General features: G+C 43.3%; 1 protein-coding gene across 13 annotated transcripts in view; it reads left to right on the forward strand.

Annotated features, from left to right (window-relative positions):
• TG (thyroglobulin) overlaps positions 1-20596 on the forward strand; it is a 267942-nt gene that overhangs the window by 112762 nt on the left and 134584 nt on the right. For 10 of the 13 annotated variants that reach the window (NM_003235.5, XM_017013794.2, XM_017013793.2 and 7 more), the window contains one exon: positions 3631-3693. The exons of 1 other annotated variant lie outside the window; for it this stretch is intronic. In NM_003235.5, the coding sequence (NP_003226.4) occupies positions 3631-3693 (63 nt within the window). Of the gene's footprint in view, positions 1-3630; positions 3694-8963; positions 10258-14996; positions 15086-20596 lie in introns of those variants that run through there. 2 more of the 13 variants (XM_017013800.2, XM_005251042.5) reach the window with 2 other exon arrangements.

Raw genomic sequence — 20596 nt, forward strand, 5'->3', positions numbered from 1 at the left:
TTTACTCACAACATTTCTGATACCACATCTGTCAGGTTTTTTGCCCCCACACCAACCAATTCTTCAACCCTCTGTTCCAGTGATTCAATTCAATCCAGACACTAACTACCTGGATTTCAAGTCAGACCCCACAGGTTAAGTCTCAGTCCCAGAAGACTGCCCCCACTTCAGATACCAATCACAAGCCCTGAGCCTCCTGCACTTCTGACCATATAAATTGGGGGTCTCCATGACCTCCTCCTTGGGGTCAATAATTTGCTAGAATGGCTCCCAGGACTCAGGGAAACACTTACTAATTAAGTTTTATTATAAAGGATACAACTCAGAAACAGCCAAAAGGAAGGGGTGCATAGGACAAGGGGGCTGGGGAAGGAGCCTCTAAGTCAAGAGCTTTTGAGTCCCTTGGGATCTCTAGAGTGACAAAAGTATCTTTTTGTCTTCTAATAAGATGACTGGTGGCTGGAGGCCCCTAGACAGGTTAAGAAGGAGGGCTAGCTGCCACAAAGACCAAGGCAAGAGTAGAAGATTGAAACTCTCAGTCCCCCTCCCCTATCTCCAAGAAGAAGAGAACAGCTGGAGATTGAGTGCATTGACCAATGGCCCATGACTTACTCAATTACTCATATGTGATGGAACCTCCTTAAGTCCCCTCAACAACCAGGTTTGGAGAGCTTCTGAGTTGGTGAACACACAGAGGTGCTGGGAGGGTGGGACACCTAAACAGGGTGTGGAGGCTCCCCCCCGGCCCTCTTGTCCTATGCACCCCTTCCTTTTGGCTGTTTCTGAGTTGTATACTTTATAATAAAACTTTAATAGATAGTGGTTTCCCTGAGTCCTGGGAGCCATTCTAGCAAATTATTGATCCCAAGGAGGAGGTCATGGAGACCCCCAATTTATATGGTCAGAAGTGCAGGAGGCTCAGGGCTTGTGATTGGTATCTGAAGTGGGGGCAGTCTTCTGGGACTGAGACTTAACCTGTGGGGTCTGACTTGAAATCCAGGTAGTTAGTGTCTGGATTGAATTGAATCACTGGTCCAGAGGGTTGAAGAATTGGTTGGTGTGGGGGCAAAAAACCTGACAGATGTGGTATCAGAAATGTTGTGAGTAAAAATAGCTCTTACTCCCACCTAATCAGTTGTACCATATTTGCCAGCACAGCACTGCATGCGGTAAGAGTAGGCCCTATCTCATCAGATTGTTAGGGAATTAAATGAGATAACTGCATGCCAAATGCTAGCCTAGTGCCAGCAGAAGACTTTATGCTTATTAAAAGGTTAAGAAGCTGTTCATAGGATGTGAATGATGAAAAAGAATAGATTCTACGTAAATTGCTACCTACATATGGAAGCTGAGGATTCTCAGGGCTCATCTCAGTCCTGTACAATAAAGAAGGTCCCACGCAAAGACTTATAATGCCTGTTACTTTTTCTCACTGATAGTGGGTGTGAAAGGAAAGTAAAGCAACGCAGCAGACTGTGTGGCAAATGCTCTGCTGACGTGAGATGCATGGTAATCCCCCCAGTAGATGTGCTGTAGCTCACGCCACCATTCTCATAGTGTTCAGCATTTATGTAGTTGCCAGTGTTCAATCAGTATTGGGAGATGTTTCCTTTGCAAACAGAGCTTGCTTTGAATTTCAAAGTAAATTTCTAGGAGCAGAATTACTGGACCCAAGGGTGTGGACGTTTGAATGCCCTCAACATAGATAGTCAAATTATTCTCTGAAGATTGCACTCTCAGGAGCCTGGTTCTGTGAGTCTCTTCTGGGAAGAACAGACATTTTAAACAAGTGACAACAGGGTGACAAGTATCAAGCTGGCCAGCTGGATATAGAGGAACATGGGGGTACTTCTGAGCAATTATGAGTTATATTAGGAGCTCCCAGAACGTGAGATGACAGAAGCCTTGGCTCAGCGTGGATCAGCAGCAACAGCAGCGCTGGGGAACTTGCTTGAAATGTAGACCTCAGATCCCATCCCAGACCTGCGGAATCAGACACTCTGGGGTGGGACCCAGCAAGGTGTGTGTTACCATGCCCTCCAGGTAATTTGGAAGTCTGCCAAAGTTTGAGATCTGGTGCCTTAGAGTGATAGTAGCAGGTGCTTCCAGGCAGATGATGCCAAGGGGAAAAGACATAATAGGATTGAAGGCTCTAGAATGCAAAGAGGCTGGGGCTTGGCATATCTGACCAAAGTGAAGAAGGCAGAGAAGGAGGTGGATGTGAGGCGACCCACGCAAGGACTTTGGGACCAGAACACAGCATGACTCTGACCCATGGCTTTTCATGGAGACACACAGGGACAAGAGACATGGCAAGAGTATATTATTGTTAAAGGGCAGTATTAAGAGTGAATCATACACAGGATGTATTGAACGTTTACTATATGATCAGAGCTGCACCAGTATCAGCTCATCTAAACCTCGCAACCCTATGAGAGGCACTGTTACTATGCCCATTTTATAGACAAGGAAACTGAGGACAGAGAGGTTGAGTAATTTGCTCAAAGTTACACAGCAGAAAAGTGGCAAACCAATCTTGCCTGGGGCTGCTGACCCGGGAGCCCCTACTTTTGACTGCTGGCCATGCTACATTGCCGCAGCTCCCTGTGAGCAAGGAGATCCCATGTACCGTCCTAGTTTGGGCCACTGGAGAGAAAAGAGTAATGAAGATTTAGATTTATTCAGTAAAGGAAGAAAAAGGGGAAGAAGATAATTTGCATTTATGTGTCACATACTGGGTATGAATGGTTCTTCATTTAATGTTTACATCATCTTCGTTTTATCAATGCTGAAACTGAAAATAGAGGAAGTTAGAGGACTTGTTACTCTACGCTGCTTCCAAGTGGTCTGATGAGGTCCATATCCAGTCTGTCTGCCTTCAAAGTCCAGGCTGCCACCATGCTGTGCTGCTTGCTATTAGCAGCTGGCATTTGCTGAGCTGGTATCTTATGCCTGGCACAGTGCCAAATGTAATAAATTGTGTTATCTCCTGTAATTTTGTCATAATTCTCTAGGTGGGTAGTACTAAACTCATTGTACAGATGTGAAAACTGAGGCCCAGAAAGCATAAGTGCCTTGCCCAGTTCACAGAGTCAGTAAGTGATAGTGGCTAGCATTTGTGTTGTTTCCCACACGTTTCGACTCTCTGCTCTCTGGGACGGGGTAGGACTGCACCTCCTCACCCTTGATCTCATAACCTAACTTTGGTCAATGTCATGAGAAAAGAAATGATGTGTGTCACTTCTAGGCAAAAGCTCTAAGAGCAAGACTGAAATAAATCTGCTGCATTCGCTTTGCCCTGCATGGCAATTATTGAAACTTGAGGCAAGAAGCTGCCTTTTTCAGCTTGGTCCTTGAGAGACGATAACATAGAGCAAAGCCCCCAGCCTCTCTGCAGTAGGCAGGTGGTACAAGGAGAGGGATCCTGAACTGTTCTAAGCCACTTATATGTTGAGATTGTTTGTTAGCTCAGCATCATCCAGCCCACCCTGACCGATACAGGTTGGGACAATCTGTCTGCCTTCCAAGTCCAATTTTACAATCACCATCTTATACTTATATTAATGCCTTCTGAACTCGATGATACCATGGGGGTAGAAAAGAACTGAAAGACTGCTTTTTCCTTTTCAGTTGCTCAAAATAATGCTCCCAGTTTTTGCCCTTTGGTTGTTCTGCCTTCCCTCACAGAGAAAGGTAAGTTCATTGTCTTTTTATCTCTTGGATGAGAGTACCCCCTCATTCATCTTCTTTCTCCTCTTCCCCCTTGCTTTTGTACAGAAGTTGATAGCTTGCATATCACTCGCATTAATTCCAGCTCCTATGAATTAAACACATGTATAAGTGGGGTGAGTACCAGCAACATGCCCACTTTGCAGATGAGAAAATTGACTCACGGGAATGAAATGATTTGTGGAAATTATGTGGCTGATTGAAGCAGAGTAAGACCTAAGTCGCGTTCTCCCAGTTTTCATTTTAAGGATTATTTCGCCCTATCGAGTAATGACTAGACACACACAATCCGGAGGCAATGTCAAGAATGGTGTTATTTATGGCCAAAAAGGGAAAGAAGTCAGCTCCTTATTAGTGCAAAAGAGTTGGAGCTTACAGTTATCGGCCACACTGGGCAGCACTGTGACATCTAATGATGAAACACTGGCCCTGAGTCCAGGAGCCCAGGTGCCCAGGTGCCCGGTAACATAGCCTGGACCCAGGCTGCCCTTGCTCCTGCACATCCCACTGATCCTCCTCACTCATGGCATGAGTCAGCAGAAAGTGCAGAGAGGTTGGGTGCAGTAGAGACATCTGGATGCTCTAGATGGGGGTGAGGTGGAGGGGTCAGGACAGCATGGGCCTCACTGCACCGTCCCCTTTTCTGCTTCCCTTTGTCAGGAAATGAGAGGCTCAGCCTGGGCTCCACACGCTGCTCAGCCAAGAGGCCAAGCGATGTTAATTCCTGTCCTGTGACATGATGTCTAAGGGGCCCTAGAAATCTGTCATTATGGCTATTATGGCCCTGGCTGGAGAGACAGAATATAGCTCATGTAGGAGGAAATTATTTAAAACCAGGGCTGTGGCTAAAAGTATAAAAATGTCTTTTACTCATATATGTTATTAGTTTCCCTCAGTCAGTTAAAATAGCAAACTTTGGAGAACACATTATATATAAAGTTGTTGAGCCTTCTATAGAAACTGTGTATGCTAAGCACTTTGCATTCATGATAGACGTTAGCTTCCTGAGATACTGTAAGGTTGGCATCGTTATTGCCATGTCAGATGGTGGAGTAGGGCTTAGAGACAGATAAGGTTGCCCAAGACCAAACAGATAATACATGTGCTAGCCAGATTTTGGTCAAAATTGATTTTGAATTTTATCAAGTTAGTGTACAAACACAGTTGAAATAATCAAAAAGTCCCAAAAGATTTATGGTTTAAAAAGAAAACAGGCCAGGTGCAGTGGCTCACACCTGTAATCTCAGCACTTTGGGAGGCTGAGGTGGGTGGATCACGAGATCAGGAGTTCGAGACCAGCCTGACCAATATGGTGAAACTCCATCTCTACTAAAAATACAAAAATTAGTCAGGCATAGTAGCGTACACCTGTAGTCCCAGCTACTAGAGAGGCTGAGGCAGGAGAATCTCTTGAACCCAGGAGGCAGAGGTTGCAGTGAGCTGAGATCACACTGTTCTCCAGCCTGAGCAACACAGCCTCCATCTCAAAAAAAAAAAAAAAGCAAAACAAATGAGTTCCCTATGTCATCTATGTCATCTCTGCTCATCTGCCACTCCCACTCCTAGTAGCCCCAAATTTCAACTCTTCTAACTACTTTTTTTCTCATCCTGGCCTCCGTGTTTCTAAGTTACAGTTGGCCTGCTCTATGTGGGTTCCATAGCCGTGTGTTCAACGACACATAGATCAAAAATAATCAGAAAATAAAATTCCAAAAAATTCCATAAAGCAAAACTTGAATTTGCTGTGCGTCAAGTACTACATTGAATCCATGCAGACAAAGCTGTGTGTAGGCATTGTATTAGACATTTTAACTAATCTAGAGATGATTAAAGTATACAGAGAATGTGTGTGAGTTATATGCAAATGCCACACCATTTTGTATAAGAGACTTGAACATCTGTGAATTTTGGTAGCCATGGGTGGGAGGGGTCCTGGAACCAGTTACCCATAGAATCCCACTATTCCTTGATTTGTCAACTTCAGAAGTGACTGTTCACTTCTTGCCTTGATGGAGACTTAGCTCTCTGTCTCTTTTATCACTACCCTTTTACAATTTTCCTCCTTTATCAACAAAATATATTAATATCAAGATTTGGGGTTGAAACAAGAGTAAATCATTATTATGGCCATGTAAATATGGTTCACCACAGAGCCCCAAAGAGAAACAGTAGCATCCTGTTACAATTGTCAAGATTTTCAGCTATCCTGCTGTCACACACAATCCCTGCTGTACCCCTGCCCTCTGCAGCACCTGCTTCCTGCTCATCAAAGGCCTGGGGAGCTGCAGATCGTGTGGGTGCTTCCTTCTGTAGGCACTGGGGCACTGCTTGTTCCTCTCTGCCAAGTCAGTTAACATGCCTCCATCTCCCATTCTTCACTTAACAGTGTTTGAAGTCCCTCATCTGCTGTCTGCTCCTTGCGTTTCCTTTTTTCCTTGTTCTTTTTTTTGTTATCTTTGTGGGTTTAGATGCTTATATTCTTTTACTTCATTTTGCAGGGGGTTGTGGAGGGAGAGAGGATAAAGGGCAGTATTTAATTCAAAACAATACTATAGTATTTTTCAAAACTTTTTAACGTTTAATGAAAACTCATTTTGTCTTCAGCACTGTGCTAAGCATTTAAACTTCATATGAACCTCAAGCGATAGGTCCTATTATAATATTTGTTAGCTATAGAAAATTCACACAAAGCAGAAATATAGAAAGAAAATCACAGTTATTTAGAAGTTACTCTGTGTCAGTTAATTCATTTGTTTATTTTTTCAATCTTTTTAGGCTCTCTGTATGGTCTGATATCATTGTAGTCTCTATGTATAATGTTGCATTTTTGGTTGTTTTTACCTAATATTGCATTGTATATATATATGTGTGTGTGTGTATATATATATGTGTGTATATATATGTATATATGTGTATATATAGTATATATATGTGTGTATATATGTGTATATATATGTATGTGTATATATATATGTATGTATCTCCAAATTGTTACATATCTGTCTAAATCACTCATTCATGCAGGCATGTATATACGTAGTGACTCATTCATTGAGTCTTCTATGTTCCTACTCTCACGATGCTCACCTTCTAGTGATGAACAACAAATGAGCAACAATATTGTTAACAGAGATAGCTGTCCTGTTATTCCACCAGTTCATTAGTCCATTTCTTTATTTTTGGTCATTTGATTGTTTATTATTATTCATCATTATAAAAATAGCAAAGTGAACTACTTGGTACCTAAAATTCCCTCCAGAAGACCAGATTATTTCCTGGGGTAAGATTGACCAAAGCGGAATTATTGGGCTTGAGAAATTTACATTTTAAGACCCTAGATTTATATTGCCAAATTAGTCTCAAACAGTTGTTGCTAGTTGCATACTTACCAGCCGTAAATTAAAGTGGTTTTCGGCTTTTGATATACTTGCGATCCTTAAGTTTTATCACTAAAAAATTATTTATTAAATTTATAGATAAAGAGTGTTTTGATGTCAAATACTATTGTTAAAGATGCATAAACCAAAGCATAACTTCTTTGGGTGATTTTACAATGCTTCCACTCTATTTTTGCTAAACATTTGTATTACTGACATGTGAATTACCTACAAAAGAAAAAAAAAAAGATGGAGCATGGAGCATGTCCTTTCACATATACACACAGCCTATGGGCCTGAGTAGGTGTTTCCAAGGTGGAATGAGATGTCACAGTGCTTGTAAGTGTCTTGTTAACAAGTATGATTTAAAAGCATAGAAATGTCAGAGCCAACATCCTATCTATGTGTTAAAATTCCCAAATTAGAACTAAGAATTTTGGCATGTTCCTTTGATGTGAATCAGAGGGAGGGGATAACTCTGCCTTCAGGGTGTTGAAATGTCATTGTATGGTTCTGACATAGATTGTGAGGATGTGTCTATATGTGTATGTGTATGTGTACAGGCACGTATGCACTGTGTATATGTAAAATATTCATCTTTATGTACTCTCTATTCAGGGAGAAAAGGAAATATTTCTTAAATATCAAATATTTATAAATCATATAATATTCACAAGAAATTTAGGTTCATAGCATGGTCTGTTTTTCAAATAAGGAAACGGAAATTAAATGACTGAGCTGGGATTTGAACCCACATCTGTATGGACCCTTTCAGAGTTAGATAAGGTTACTTGGTTGAGTTTCTGAAACAGGTTAGCAAAGATGAGCTTTTGAGTCTAGACTTGTCTGGAGACCTAATCTCTTGGTTTCATGTCTTTTATACGTGTGTGTGTGTGGTGTGTGTGTGTGTGCGTGTGTGTGTGTATAAGCCACCCATTCAAAGTCTACTTCAAAGAAAGAATTCTTTGCATATGCAAACCATTCTCTCTGGAAAGACTTTCTAAAACTCACCTGCCTGCTAAACTGGTGCCTTCAAACCAGCTAGTGTGTTAGAAACCTTCTCTAGAGCAACAGAAATGCAGTGTTTAGAGCAGCCCTTATCACATAGTATGTACTCAAGACAGGTGCATGAGATTTCAGAAGTCTCCTCCATCTGCACACCATCCCCACTGACCAGTCGGGGGAGCAGAATTCTTTCTTTGAAGTAGACTTTGAATGGGCAGCTTGTACATACACATGCACACACACACACACACACACACACACACACACACACACGAAATGAAGCTAAGCAATTAGGTCTCCAGACAAGTCTAGACTCGAAAGTCCATCTGCACAGTGGAACTGTTCCTAGGCTGCAGTGGGATACTGACAAGTTTCCCCCAGATTCACCATAGACAGGCAGGAAAAGCACCACAAATATATTATGACCAAACTGTGACTTGGAGGAGGAGTGTGCATCTGTCAGATGGCCAAGAGGAGAATGGATAGTGTCTGAGGCAGAGGGCACTGCATGTGTGGAAGCATGGGGACATGCATCAGCAAGGCTCAGGCAGGACCATGCAAGTAGCTCAGTGTTGCAGGACCAACAGGTGCAGAAGAGGACCGGGGCCAAAGCGTAAAGTGCATTGGATACTGCAGATCCTTGCAGGGCTTGAAGCAGTGGAACAATGATCTTTAAAACTATGTAAAAGCTTTACTTTGCACTATCATGAGAGTGTTTTGGTGGATGACTAGCTAGATTTTGAGAAAGTGAGGACAATTATATCAACGGTGTATAGTGTATAGTTGTACTCTCTTTGGATAAAAATTGTTTTATAAACAAGTGAAATAGTAAATATATATTTTCTTTGTCAGACAAATGTACATTGCATCTTAAAAGGCTTACACCAACCAAGCCAGCAAGGCTGCTGCAGGTTAGCTTGAGTTATCTTCTCCAGTGTTGGAGCCTGCCTGTGTGATCGTCGCACCCCTTCCCTGCTTCCCAAATGTGGGATCTCCTAAGGGTTTATTCCCAGGACAACGAGCATTCAGCTTGCCATTCTCTATTTCAGAAATGTTTCTCTTAGAGGTGTGTATTAGTTCATTTTCACGTTGCTCATAAAGACATACCCGAGACTGGACAATTTGCAGAAGAAAGAGGTTTAATTGGACTCACAGCTCCATGTGGCTGGGGAGGCCTCACAATCATGGCAGAAGGCAAGGAGGAACAAGTCACATCTTACGTGGATGACAGCAGGCAAAGAGAGAGCTTGTGCAGGCAAAATGCCATTTTTAAAAGCCGTCAGATGTCCTGAGACTTATTCACTATCATGAAAACAGCACAGGAAAGACCTGCCCCCATGATTCAGTTATCTCCCACTGGGTCCCTCCCACAACACGTGGGAATTATGGAAGCTGCAAGGTGAGATTTGGGTGGGACACAGAGCCAAATCATATCAAGATGCTACTTAATTAAATTTACTATTTGGATTGAAAGCCAGGGTAAACACAGAATATTTAGGATTTTGTCCTCTCCATTCTATGTGTGTTTCACATGAATACTTCAACATACCATTTGGAAAATGCTCCCGCCATTGACTTTGAGCCCTTTTGAGCAATGGGTGCAGCACAGGTTGCTGCTGGCAGAGCGGACTGTGAAGAAGGCTGCAGCTGAGAGGTGCGAGGTGGAGCGAAGAGAGATGTCTCGTTACAGTTTGTCCTGCTCAGCTTTCCAGCACCTCTCTCCTGACCTCATCCTGGAGCTCAGTGACAGGGACAAAGCCTGAATTCAGGGCAGATGGAAACAGCAGTGGCTGCCCCAACAGCTTTTGAACCACACAATGAAAAGGAATCAACTTTGTCTGCTTGGCCTCCATCCTGTGCCTTTGCCTGTGCCCGTGGGTTGACGGAATTCACTTGATCTTTTCTGCAAATGTTTTTCATTAAGCTGGAAACAGAGTCCTGTGATCCTAAAAAGTGTCAGCACCGGCGGGAAGCATGTACACCCTCTAAGCGAGGAAGCAATGCGACATCACGGTGCAGCACGTGGGCTTTGAGGTCCACCTGGGCAGCTTCACTGAGTATCTGGGCCAGATTTCACAGCCTCTTGATGCCCCTGCTTGCCCCAGTAAAGTGAGAATAATGGTGAAATATAAGCAATATCAGTCTAGCAGGCTTTTGTTGAAGAGCAGATAAAGTATAATGCTCAGCATGGAATTTGCTGTAGAGTGGGTGTTCAAGAAACGTCAGCAATAATTCCCAAGTCCAAACCGCTTTACAGAGGAGGAAACTGAGGCAGAGAGAGAGTGTGACTTCCCCACATGACAACCAGTTAAAGCTGAGCTATACAATTATATATATATATATATATATATAATATACATGTACGTATACACACCCATGTATACAGTCACACACACATTTTTATGGATAACTGTTATTAAGGTAAAGAGTTTGCTAGTAGCTCTATCATTTTTTGCTCTTATTTTTAGTTGACATATAATAATTTTACACATTTATGAGATACAGAGTGGTATCTTAATACATGTATACAATGTGTAATGATCATACCAGGGCAATCAGCATATCTATCGCCTCAAATGTTTATCATTTCTTTGTGTTGTGAACATTCCAAATCCTCTCTCCTAGAGTTTTGAAAATATACACTAATTGTTAGCCATCTTCCCACTACAGTGCTACACAGCAGTGGGAATCATTTTTCCCGTCCCCCTGGAACTGCACACCCTTAACTAACCTCCCTGTCTCCTCCCCCTCCCTCTGATCTTCCCAACCTCTAATGACCACACACAATCATATATTTTAAAAATTCCTATTCATGGAATGACTGAATATGCCAATCACCATGCTAAATGCTTTCTATATTTTAATCTTCACAACTGCCCTACAAGGTGTGCACAACTGTGTCCATTTTCCAGATTTGGAAGCTAAGGCTCAGAGAGGCCCAAACTCACATAACCAGTACTTTGTAGAGCTGAAATTTGTACTCAACCCGGATGTAAACCCAGAGTCTCCCCGCGAAGATGGTGGCTGTCGCTGCTCCAGTTTCCCGGGAATCATACTCTGAGATGAAGTTTAGTAGGAAGGCCAGTTTTTTTTTTTTTTTTTTTAGCAAAAAGTTAATTCTACCAACAGGGGTGTTAGGAGGCAAGGGAAGGCCCAGGACTGGGCTGAGGGAGAAGTTGAACCTTAGTGTTGTCTCGGTGGAGGCCTCAGATGGCCCTTTAGGGATGCTGAAGCTGGGATGACCTTTAAAATTGTTATGGCCTCACGCTGGTCACTCATTACCATGAGCTGCCCTGAGCAGGGCATGACCTTCAGCCGAGGCAGTCCTGGAAGGGGGCAGACAGTGGTCTGCCTCAGCAGCACCCACCACTGCTAATGTAGAGCCCTGCAGTCCTGGAGGGAGTCAGGGACCCCACAGCACTCTCCACAGTGGCTTTGCACTCTAATAATCCAGACTGGGACGTGTCTGACGGTGGAATGCATGCCTTTAAACGCTGTGCACCAACCCAGGCACACTGTTTTCTTACTACTATAGGCACTGGGCTGATGGCGTGTTAAAGGCACACAGGACTGATTCTTCATCCCTTTGGTCCTCAGCCTAGAAGGCCCAGGTGAGTGGCCACTGATTCCAAAATTGTTTAGTGTTTGTATAAAACTTAAATGTCCTGTCTAAATACGCACAGAGCTTATGCATGCATGTGCACACGCACACACGCACACAAGCCATTTTGAGGGAGCTCATGGTGCATACCCTGTCACTATTTCATCAGAAAAGTTGTCCAGGGATAGGTTTTATATCCCAGGGGCCAGCAAGACATGCCGGTTAGCACACCCTGTTTCCTCACTTTGGTTGAGAGTGCCAAATGAATCATGTTGTTAGCAGCTGCAACACTCAGCACGCGGGAACTCCACTCCCAAGCCAGGATCCACATCTGCCAGGGACTGTGCTGCTTGGGTGACTATAATTGCTGTAATGTGTGAGGCTGAGTATGGTCTGGGCACAGCCTCACATCTGGCAGCCCCCTGGACCTCTTCTCTGTCTCTCTGAGACCGAGAGATTGAGAAGGAAAAAGAAACAGCTGGCAAACTGGTGCTGCAATGATAGTAGGTCTTAGGAAACTGAGAAAGGTGAGGAAACTGGTTCCCAGTTCCCTTCCTTCCTGGAAGGCTTCACTTCTCTCCACAGGTGCAGGAGGGAGCCACTAGCCAATGGAGAAGTGCTGGGTTTAAGACTCAGTTATGGTTTCATCTGCCTTGGCTGCCTTTCCCCTTTGTTCAGTTGCTTATTCATTCAACAAGCATTTGGTGGGTACCTACTTTGTACCAGGCACTAAGCACTGGGGTACGGCTGTAAATGAGCAACATGAGTGTGTCAGAGGATGCACCATAGGCTCCCTCTTTGGGAGTGTTTGTGTGTGTGTGCATAAGCTCTGTGCATATTTGGATAGGAAATTTAGGTTTTATACAAGCATTAAACAATTTTGGAGTCAGTGCCTGCTCACCTGGGCCTTCTGGCCGGAGGACAAAAAGGATGAAGAATCAATTCTGTGTGGCTTCAATGTGCTCCATCAGTTCAATAGAAAGCTATAGTATTAGGTGCAAAAGTTACTGCAGTCTTTGCCTTTGAAAGTAATGGGAAAATTGCGATTACTTTTGCACCCACCTAATAGGAAGAAGACAGTGCTCCTGGGTTGGTGCTGGAGAGCCTGCACAGTGTTTCATAGCACTCATTCCACCCTCAGATGTGTCCCACATTGGACTAAAGTATATAGACACTGTGGAGGGTGCTGTGGGGTCTCTCAGACTCCCTTTAGGATGGAAGGGCTCTACCCCAGTGGCTGTGGGTGCTGCTGGCAGAGAGACCACTGTCAGTCCTGTTCTGGGAAAAGACCACACCTCTATAGGGTTTGTTCCTCCTCTGCTCTGAGCCCCAGGTCACTTCCTCCAAGGGATGGCTGACCACCCCATCCAAAGTAGCTCCCTTCTGCACTCTCCATCCCTTCACCCTGCTGTACTGCCTCTGGGAACCATCGCTATGAATTGTTGTCATTTGTTTACTTGTTGAGTGTTGCTTGCCCTCTCTGGAATGGGAGCTGCAGGAGGACAGGGACTTTATCTGTCTCATTTACTGCGACTGTGGGAGTCCCAGCACCTGTGGGAGTCAGTGTTCAGTAAATATTTACCGAATGAATGAATGGATTTTTCTTGCTTGCTTGTTAGATTTTGGGCTCCCAGAGGGCAGATATTTTGTAATTCATGGTTGGGTTCTTCACATTTAGCAAAATGTCCAGTATAGAGTAGATGCTCAATATTATTTTATTTATAGTTATTTGGTTTTAAATAATAGATATAAGTCTCCACTTTGACCTAAGTCAGTATTTAAAGGTAAAAGTGATCAACTAACTTTTGTTGAAGAAATGAATGAATAACAGAATGAAAAACGAATGAATGGAGAGGGTGGTTGTGGAGTATTGAAAGCCACATGGGATATGAGTTTGGGCAGCCAAGTTTTGAACCCTCCCTTTGGCACTCCTTAAGTATGTGACCTTGGCCAGTTTAAAGAATCTTTCTGCATTTCAATTGTCTCACCTGTAAAATAGAGATGATTATACCACTTCAAAGAGGTTGTTTTAGGCTTAAAAGAGATATTATACATAAAATGGCTGTACTCAATGCTCAGTAAAGGTTGGCAGTGGTGGCATGGCTGGGTTAGGTCATGCACTACCAGTTCTAATGGGGTCCTTTCACAGGTAATCTTTGTAAATGTTACCCCTGCAGTTGTGCTATGCACAACCTGTGCAGCTGTACATAGTGAGCCTGGGAGGCACTTGACAAATGTTTGCTGAATGGTTATGTCTTAAACTCTTGCTAGATCTTAGAGTCTTAGAAGATGGGGAAAATATATGGATTTTCTACAGTAACTTTCTCCCTATACAGTACCAGTTTTGTACCTGGTCCATCAAAAATTTGCTTAATTATATTTAAAGGATATGGAGCCAAGAGCAAAATATGTCAACAGAAAACCTACCATTTGGATTTGGTTATTTAGCCTTTAGCTTTAAATATTTTCTTCTAAATATCCTTCTTAGCTATGGAAGATATCCTTCAGCCTAGAATCAGTCAGAAACCACATAATCAAAAATGACCTCAATCAAAGCCGTAGGTAGAGGGAGCTGGCGTTTGGTACTGCCCTGTCTTCCTCTTTCTCTATAATTCCCCTCTGCCCACTCTGGGTAACTCCTGACTACATGCTCTTAAGCCATGATTCTCATCTAGAATGGCAATCCCAAGGCAGGACACTGTGATGAAAAAGTGGTTTCTCTTTCCTTCTCACCCCTGAACAGTTGCCTTGAACAGGCAACTGTTAAGAATAGAAGGACCTTGTTTATTTATTATTTTATTTTCTAGTGCCATCCTGGAGCCTCTTGAGCCAAATGGAATTAACAAAGTTATTCACACTAAGGTGAAAATATCAATATTTTAATATCTTTTTCAGGGGTGTTCACAGTTTAACAAGTGGGTAAACCGGTTCTATTCTGAGAGCAGAGATTCAAAACTTTTGCCAAACACGCGGGGGAAATATTTTAGGCAGGTTGCCTGTCCTGGGGCTCCTCAGGCCCTTCTACATAGCTGACAGTGAATGGGACCATCCCTGAGTACAACCCACTAGAAGATTTCCTTAGTTTTATGGCTTATAATAATTTTAATCACTGATTAAAAAGAGTGATAGTATGTTACAAGTGGCTAGTGCTACACAAAGTTTTTTTTAAATGATCCTTCAGTCATCCATTCATTTATTCTCCCTTGTTGAGTGTGCTGAATTCCCTGACCTCCTGAAGGAACTCAGTTTGACTTATTACAGAAGCATCTACCTCTTCTCCCCAGTGTTTAAAGTCCGGGAGGTGAGAGGGACCCAGCTGAAGAGGATGGAGTGAGGGCTTCCGTATAACTGGAGTACCTGGTGTCATGGGAAGGTGAGATGGGGAAAGAGGAGAGAAGGGGCTGGGTCAGATGATGGAAAGCATTGGTTATCTTGCTGTGATGGAGTAAGATTGAGGTAATGAGCTCCCTGTCACTGGAGTATTCAAATATGTTGAAGATTCTCTTGTTGTGAGAGGGGTTGGCTTAAATGTCTTTTAAATTTCCCTTTAAATTTTGTAATTCTCAGCATTGGCTCAGTTATGCTGTAGCGTGTGATTTTTTCCCTTCTGCTTTTGTGAGCGCTCACCCACAGGCAAGCAGAAGGAGCCAGGCAAAAGCAGAAGCTGGGAAGCACAGAGCCTGGTGCTGGGCAGATCTCAGTCTCTGTTCTAATTCTATTCCTACTCTATGAATAACCTAGGGAAAGTCACTGCACTGCTCTAAGCCCCAGTTTCTTTAAGGTAGAATTCACCATGTTACCTATTACCTACAAGTTGAGATTTGGGTAAAGTCCTATGTGTAACATGCTTAGCCTACTACCCACCACATACAGCAAGTGCTTGATAAATGGAATGAGCAGCAGCTGCTCCTGCTCCTGCAGAGATCAGACACAGGTCTCTAACGTGGAGGGCAACGGTGCCGCCTTAGGAGTCTGTCTGTGTTCAAGGCAGCTGTGTGAGCTTGGGCAAGTTCCCTACAGTTCACCCATACCCTTGTTCAGCACCCCAAAGGAGGCCTCCATGGTGCTGGACTCACTTTGCTTAGATCAGATTGGTTGTTCACATGCATTTGTGCCTCAGAATTTCTATCGTTTTGCCCACGCACCCAGGATCATGCATGTGACCCCATGAAAGAGGAGTTCAGATGCTCTTAGGAGACCCAATTCTTGTACTCTCTCCATGTAGCTTTTGTGTTTGGGGAAGTTGGTGGGGATGTCCACTTGTTAGGAGTCAAACTTCTTAGAGAGAAATCAGATTCAATCTGAGCCTTTGAAATTTCACTAGGAATTTTGCTCGTAATGAACTTAGTAATTTGTCATGAGGCCATAGAAGGAATATAGATCCAAGTCTGGTTTCGTGTGTGTGGCTTTTCCTTAGTTAGAAATTTCCCTAGAAGCGTCTTTGAAGTTAGCAGCATTAAAGATGGTTACCCACCAACACACAAGCTCATAAACTGAACAGATGCTGGGCCATTACAGACGTCTTTGGAAACTTCTGCCTGCAATGAGAAGCCACAGGGAAGCACTTTATGAGGCTGCAGCTGAGTCATATGGAGGAGGTGGCAGCTGTGGGGCAGTGGGGATTGAGAGGGAGTAGTCTGGATGAAGTCCCTGGCAGTTTGGCTCACCGGTCACAAGTTGTGATCTTGGCCATATTATGTAGCACCTCTGAGCCTCAGTTCAGCCCTCTGCATGATAGTAATTAAGGCATGGGATGATGTAGTTATTCTTGCAGTGTAAATGAAAGTGTTTTATAAACTAGAACACACCACGTAGAGGTGAGATTTTATTAAATCAGCTTCCCATTATTTGCTTCCTATGTGACTAATCTATTAACTAATTGACTCAATAATTATTTACTGAGGTTTTGTAGTATGTGAATAATAATAATCTTAATCTTTATGGAGATATAAATTAGCATTCTATTGCTCCTTTATTAATTAACTTCATTCAATACCTATTTATGGATTAGGGCAGTTTATGAAAAAAATAGTACTATTGCTGCTGTTAAGCACACAGTGAACACTTAGTAAATGCAAACTACAACTACATTACTATTTCTATTGCCAATTTTTTTTTGCTTGCTATTATAGGTCTTGGAGAATCAGTGAAACTAAAGCACAGTTTTTGATCTCAAGGAGCTCATGATTTAACAGGCAGATTTAAAAATAAACAAATTGCAATGCAGTATATTAGTGGAACAGTAAACATATCTAGGCATTTAGAGGAGAAGAAGTAGGCATTTAGAGGTGATGGTGGTGGAGGAGGCAGCTGTAGAAGGGGATTTCAGAGTGGATTATCTGAGTTGGGTTTTAAGGGATGATATGAATTTATCCTACAAATAAATTGACTTAACTTTGTAAGTCAATAGTGCTGTTCACACTAATAATGTACAAAGTCATACAACACAGAGTGTGTTGACAGACCACCAGGTGTGAGAGTGGGATGGTAGGAGGCAGACTAATGAGAGATGAAGTTGGAGAGGTAGGCAAGAAGGCATCAGATAGATTTCAGGGAAACTCAGACACTACGTTTTTTGTTTGTTTGTTTTGCTACAAACCTAGATGGAGTGTGTTTGCTGCAGGGACAATATTCACTTGTAATGGTAGAATCTGAAATTTATATTTAAAATGATATTTATTCAGACTTTCCTTGTATAATGTCCTTTCTAGATGAACATTCAGTCCACTTGAGCACCAATCAAGGACAAGACTTAAGGTTTTGAGTTGGGCAGCCCCATGGCTGGTGGTGCCAATTCCAAGATAAAGAATGTAAGAGGGGAACCAGTGGAAGAATGTGGTTGTGGGTGGAAGTGAGATTATGTGTTCAGTTTTCAACATCCTGAGCTTAAAGGACATCTGCTTGGAGGTGTCCAGGAAGCACCGAATATATAAGCATGGAGCTTGGGCAGAGGGTCTAGCCTGGTTGTATTTGGTGGTCATTAGCATGTCAGTGGTATTTGAAGTCGTAGGGATATGAGCACACCCATGGAGAATGTCAGATGTAAAGAGTAAGAGTCAAGGGCAGCCCCTTGAGGAGAGGAGGAGACACTAGGAAGAGCAGCTGGAGACAGGGGAGGCACACTGGTGGCATCTGCTATCATGGAACCCAGGCCAGGGAGATGTGATTCATCATTTCAAGGAAAATGGAGACTGGAAGTGTCCATTGAGTTAGTCATGAAGAGCCCTTTGAAAATTTAGTGGAGTAAAGAGGAAGGAAACTCAATAGTAGTGATTTGAGGAAGTAGAAACTACAAATTTTCCCAAGCATCTTGGCTATGAAAGTAAGAGAACAAGATTGACAGCTAAAAAAAGAATTGTGGAACATTAGCTGGTAATCATGTTTAGGTCATAGATTACTTGTGACAGTGAATTAAAAACAGTATGTTCCACCATATATATCAAATTTTGCCTATATTTTTTAGGGAAATGGGTCACCTGAAACCCAGACCATGAGATGAGAAACTTTGGGTTAAAGTGTTTTTCTTACAAGGGGGATATTTCAGCATGTTCCTATGCAAAAAGTGAAGTGTCGGTGTCGAGGGACACACTAAAGATAAAGGAAGAATGGGAGTGGGGCTGGGTTGGGGGTAATTGATAGATGGAGGCCCCTGAAGGGGTGAGGAAGAATGAGCTCTAGAGCACAGATAGAAGGACTGACTTCCAATGGACACCCTTCTTCTGTATTAGGAGAAATCAAGAGGGAAAGATAAAATGGCTTATAGAGGGGATGAGGGGGAAGGAAGCTGAAGCAGATATTGACAGATGGCCCCTTTTTGCTCTGGGAGGCCAGAGGTCAGGCACTGGCTGAGAGCAGAAGGGGATGGATGAGGTCTAGGCCTGAGAGAGCGGCAAGCACTGAAAGCAGTGGCTGCAAGGGGTGGAAGAGAGGGGACCAACTGATCAAACTGTGCCGGGGGTCAGTTGAAGCTGAAGGTCCACAGGTTGTAAAGGCACCAGTGTGTTCAGCTGTGGCCATGGGAAATTTCTTTGCCCATGCTCAGCAGACTGAGACAAGCTGCAGGGAAAGAGAGCCCATTGGGTTAGTCCCATTGGGAGGAAGAGAATTGAGGACATTGCTCAAAGGGAAGCTGAGATAATGGACCAATGGGAGGTCTTGGTTGGATGATGAGCCACTGAGGATGGATACCATGGAGTGGGTGGGAGCGTAGAAATCACAGTGAAATTAAAGAGCTGGCGTGAGTGGGCTAAAGTGTGAATGTGCTGGAGAGAAAGAAAACTGTGGTCCATATCAGCAAGTGCAGCTTAGGAAAACTACAATTTAAATGGTGATGGAGTTCAATGCCTTGGCAGGGTTTGGGGTGTGATCATGGAGGCAGTTGGCTGGAATGGAGTGGAAATGAAGGTCTCTGGGATTGAAGCAGACAAGAAACTGAGACCAGAGTTTCAAATGGGCTTCTACTCTCCCTAAGATGATGAAACCACTCAAGATTTTAGCAGGATTTGGAGTGGCAATGGGCTTGAGGAATATGGGAGAATGACTAGGCATTCTCAGTTAAGGATGATGAGAAGGACTAGAAGATTTCATTGTCAGAGGGTTGGGCCTCCAAGAACCAGGACTGCAGCCCAGAGTGAAGGAGGGGACATTACAGTCATGGTAAGAACCCTGGTTTCTGGGACACAGGAGGCTGGGGAAGGATGAGACAGGTTCAGGGGGTAGCAGTGCAACAACGTGAGTTGGTTTCAGAGAGAAGGACGAGCAGGAGTCTGGACCAGAGTGAGAAAGGCCAAGATGGTGCAGAGAGGACAGGCGGGCTGGCATTCTGCTTTTTGATTGGGGGAAGGTATGTGGTTGCCACCCTTTCATCCTATCAAATAAGAATAATTAAAAAAAAAAACTAGAATCTATTCTTCTCATTATTTTGCAAAAGGACATTCATTTCCCCAGTTAGGAAGGACCACTATCAGCAGGTCATAAAATTACAATATTTTGCCTTCCAGATGGCATCCCTTATACTCCTCCTTATTCCTGGAAAAAGCATACAAACTCCCTGTCAAGCTGCCTGTAGGATTTTTGGTTCCCAGGTGTGGACTACCCACCCATTGAGGTGCATAACGACTGGGTTCATGCTCTCTCTCAGATCTGCCTTCTGGGTTGGAGGTCAGAAAACTGCAGCCTGCAGCCTGCAGCCTGTTTTTGTGTAGCCTAGGAGTGAAGAATAGGCCTATCACATTTTTAAAGGGGTGCAAACAATAGAAGAATATGCAGCAGAGAACAAATGTGGCTGGTGAGGCCTACAATATTTACTACCTGGCTCTTTACTATCTTCTCAGTGATATTTCTTCTTAGAAGATATTTACTATCTTCTCAGTGAGCAGAAGGTCACTGATCCTTGTCCTGAAGGCTTACATTGTCTCTGTCCTTCCTTCTGTATCCCTCAATCCTTTATGTGGGTCTTTTCTGGTCCTTCTGGGTCACACAACCAGACCTACATCCCCCTGTGGGACCATCTTGATGTGACAGCATTTCTTTCCAGGAAGATGAGGGGGTAGCAACTGTAACATCACTACTATTAACATTCACTCTTAATATTAAATTTTGGTTGAAAAAGCCCTGTTTTACAAGTGACAGCAAGGATGCCATCATGCATTCAACAATGCAGACAGTGGTGAGAGCTCAGGCTCTGGAGGTTGATGTATGGGAGGTCAAATCCTTAACAAATGTTAGTGAGTATGGCTGTGCCAAGCAGTTTGCAGCCATTGGATGGCTCTATTCAGCCTTCAGCCTGTGCCCAGAGCTCCCTGATTTATCATGCTATGGCACACACAGGGGATGATGACAACTGCATGACTCATTGGGGTAAACAGATGGGAAGATGGGACCA

Source organism: Homo sapiens, chromosome 8 (genome assembly GCF_000001405.40).
Source record: "Homo sapiens chromosome 8, GRCh38.p14 Primary Assembly".
NCBI classification, from domain to species: Eukaryota; Metazoa; Chordata; class Mammalia; order Primates; family Hominidae; genus Homo; species Homo sapiens.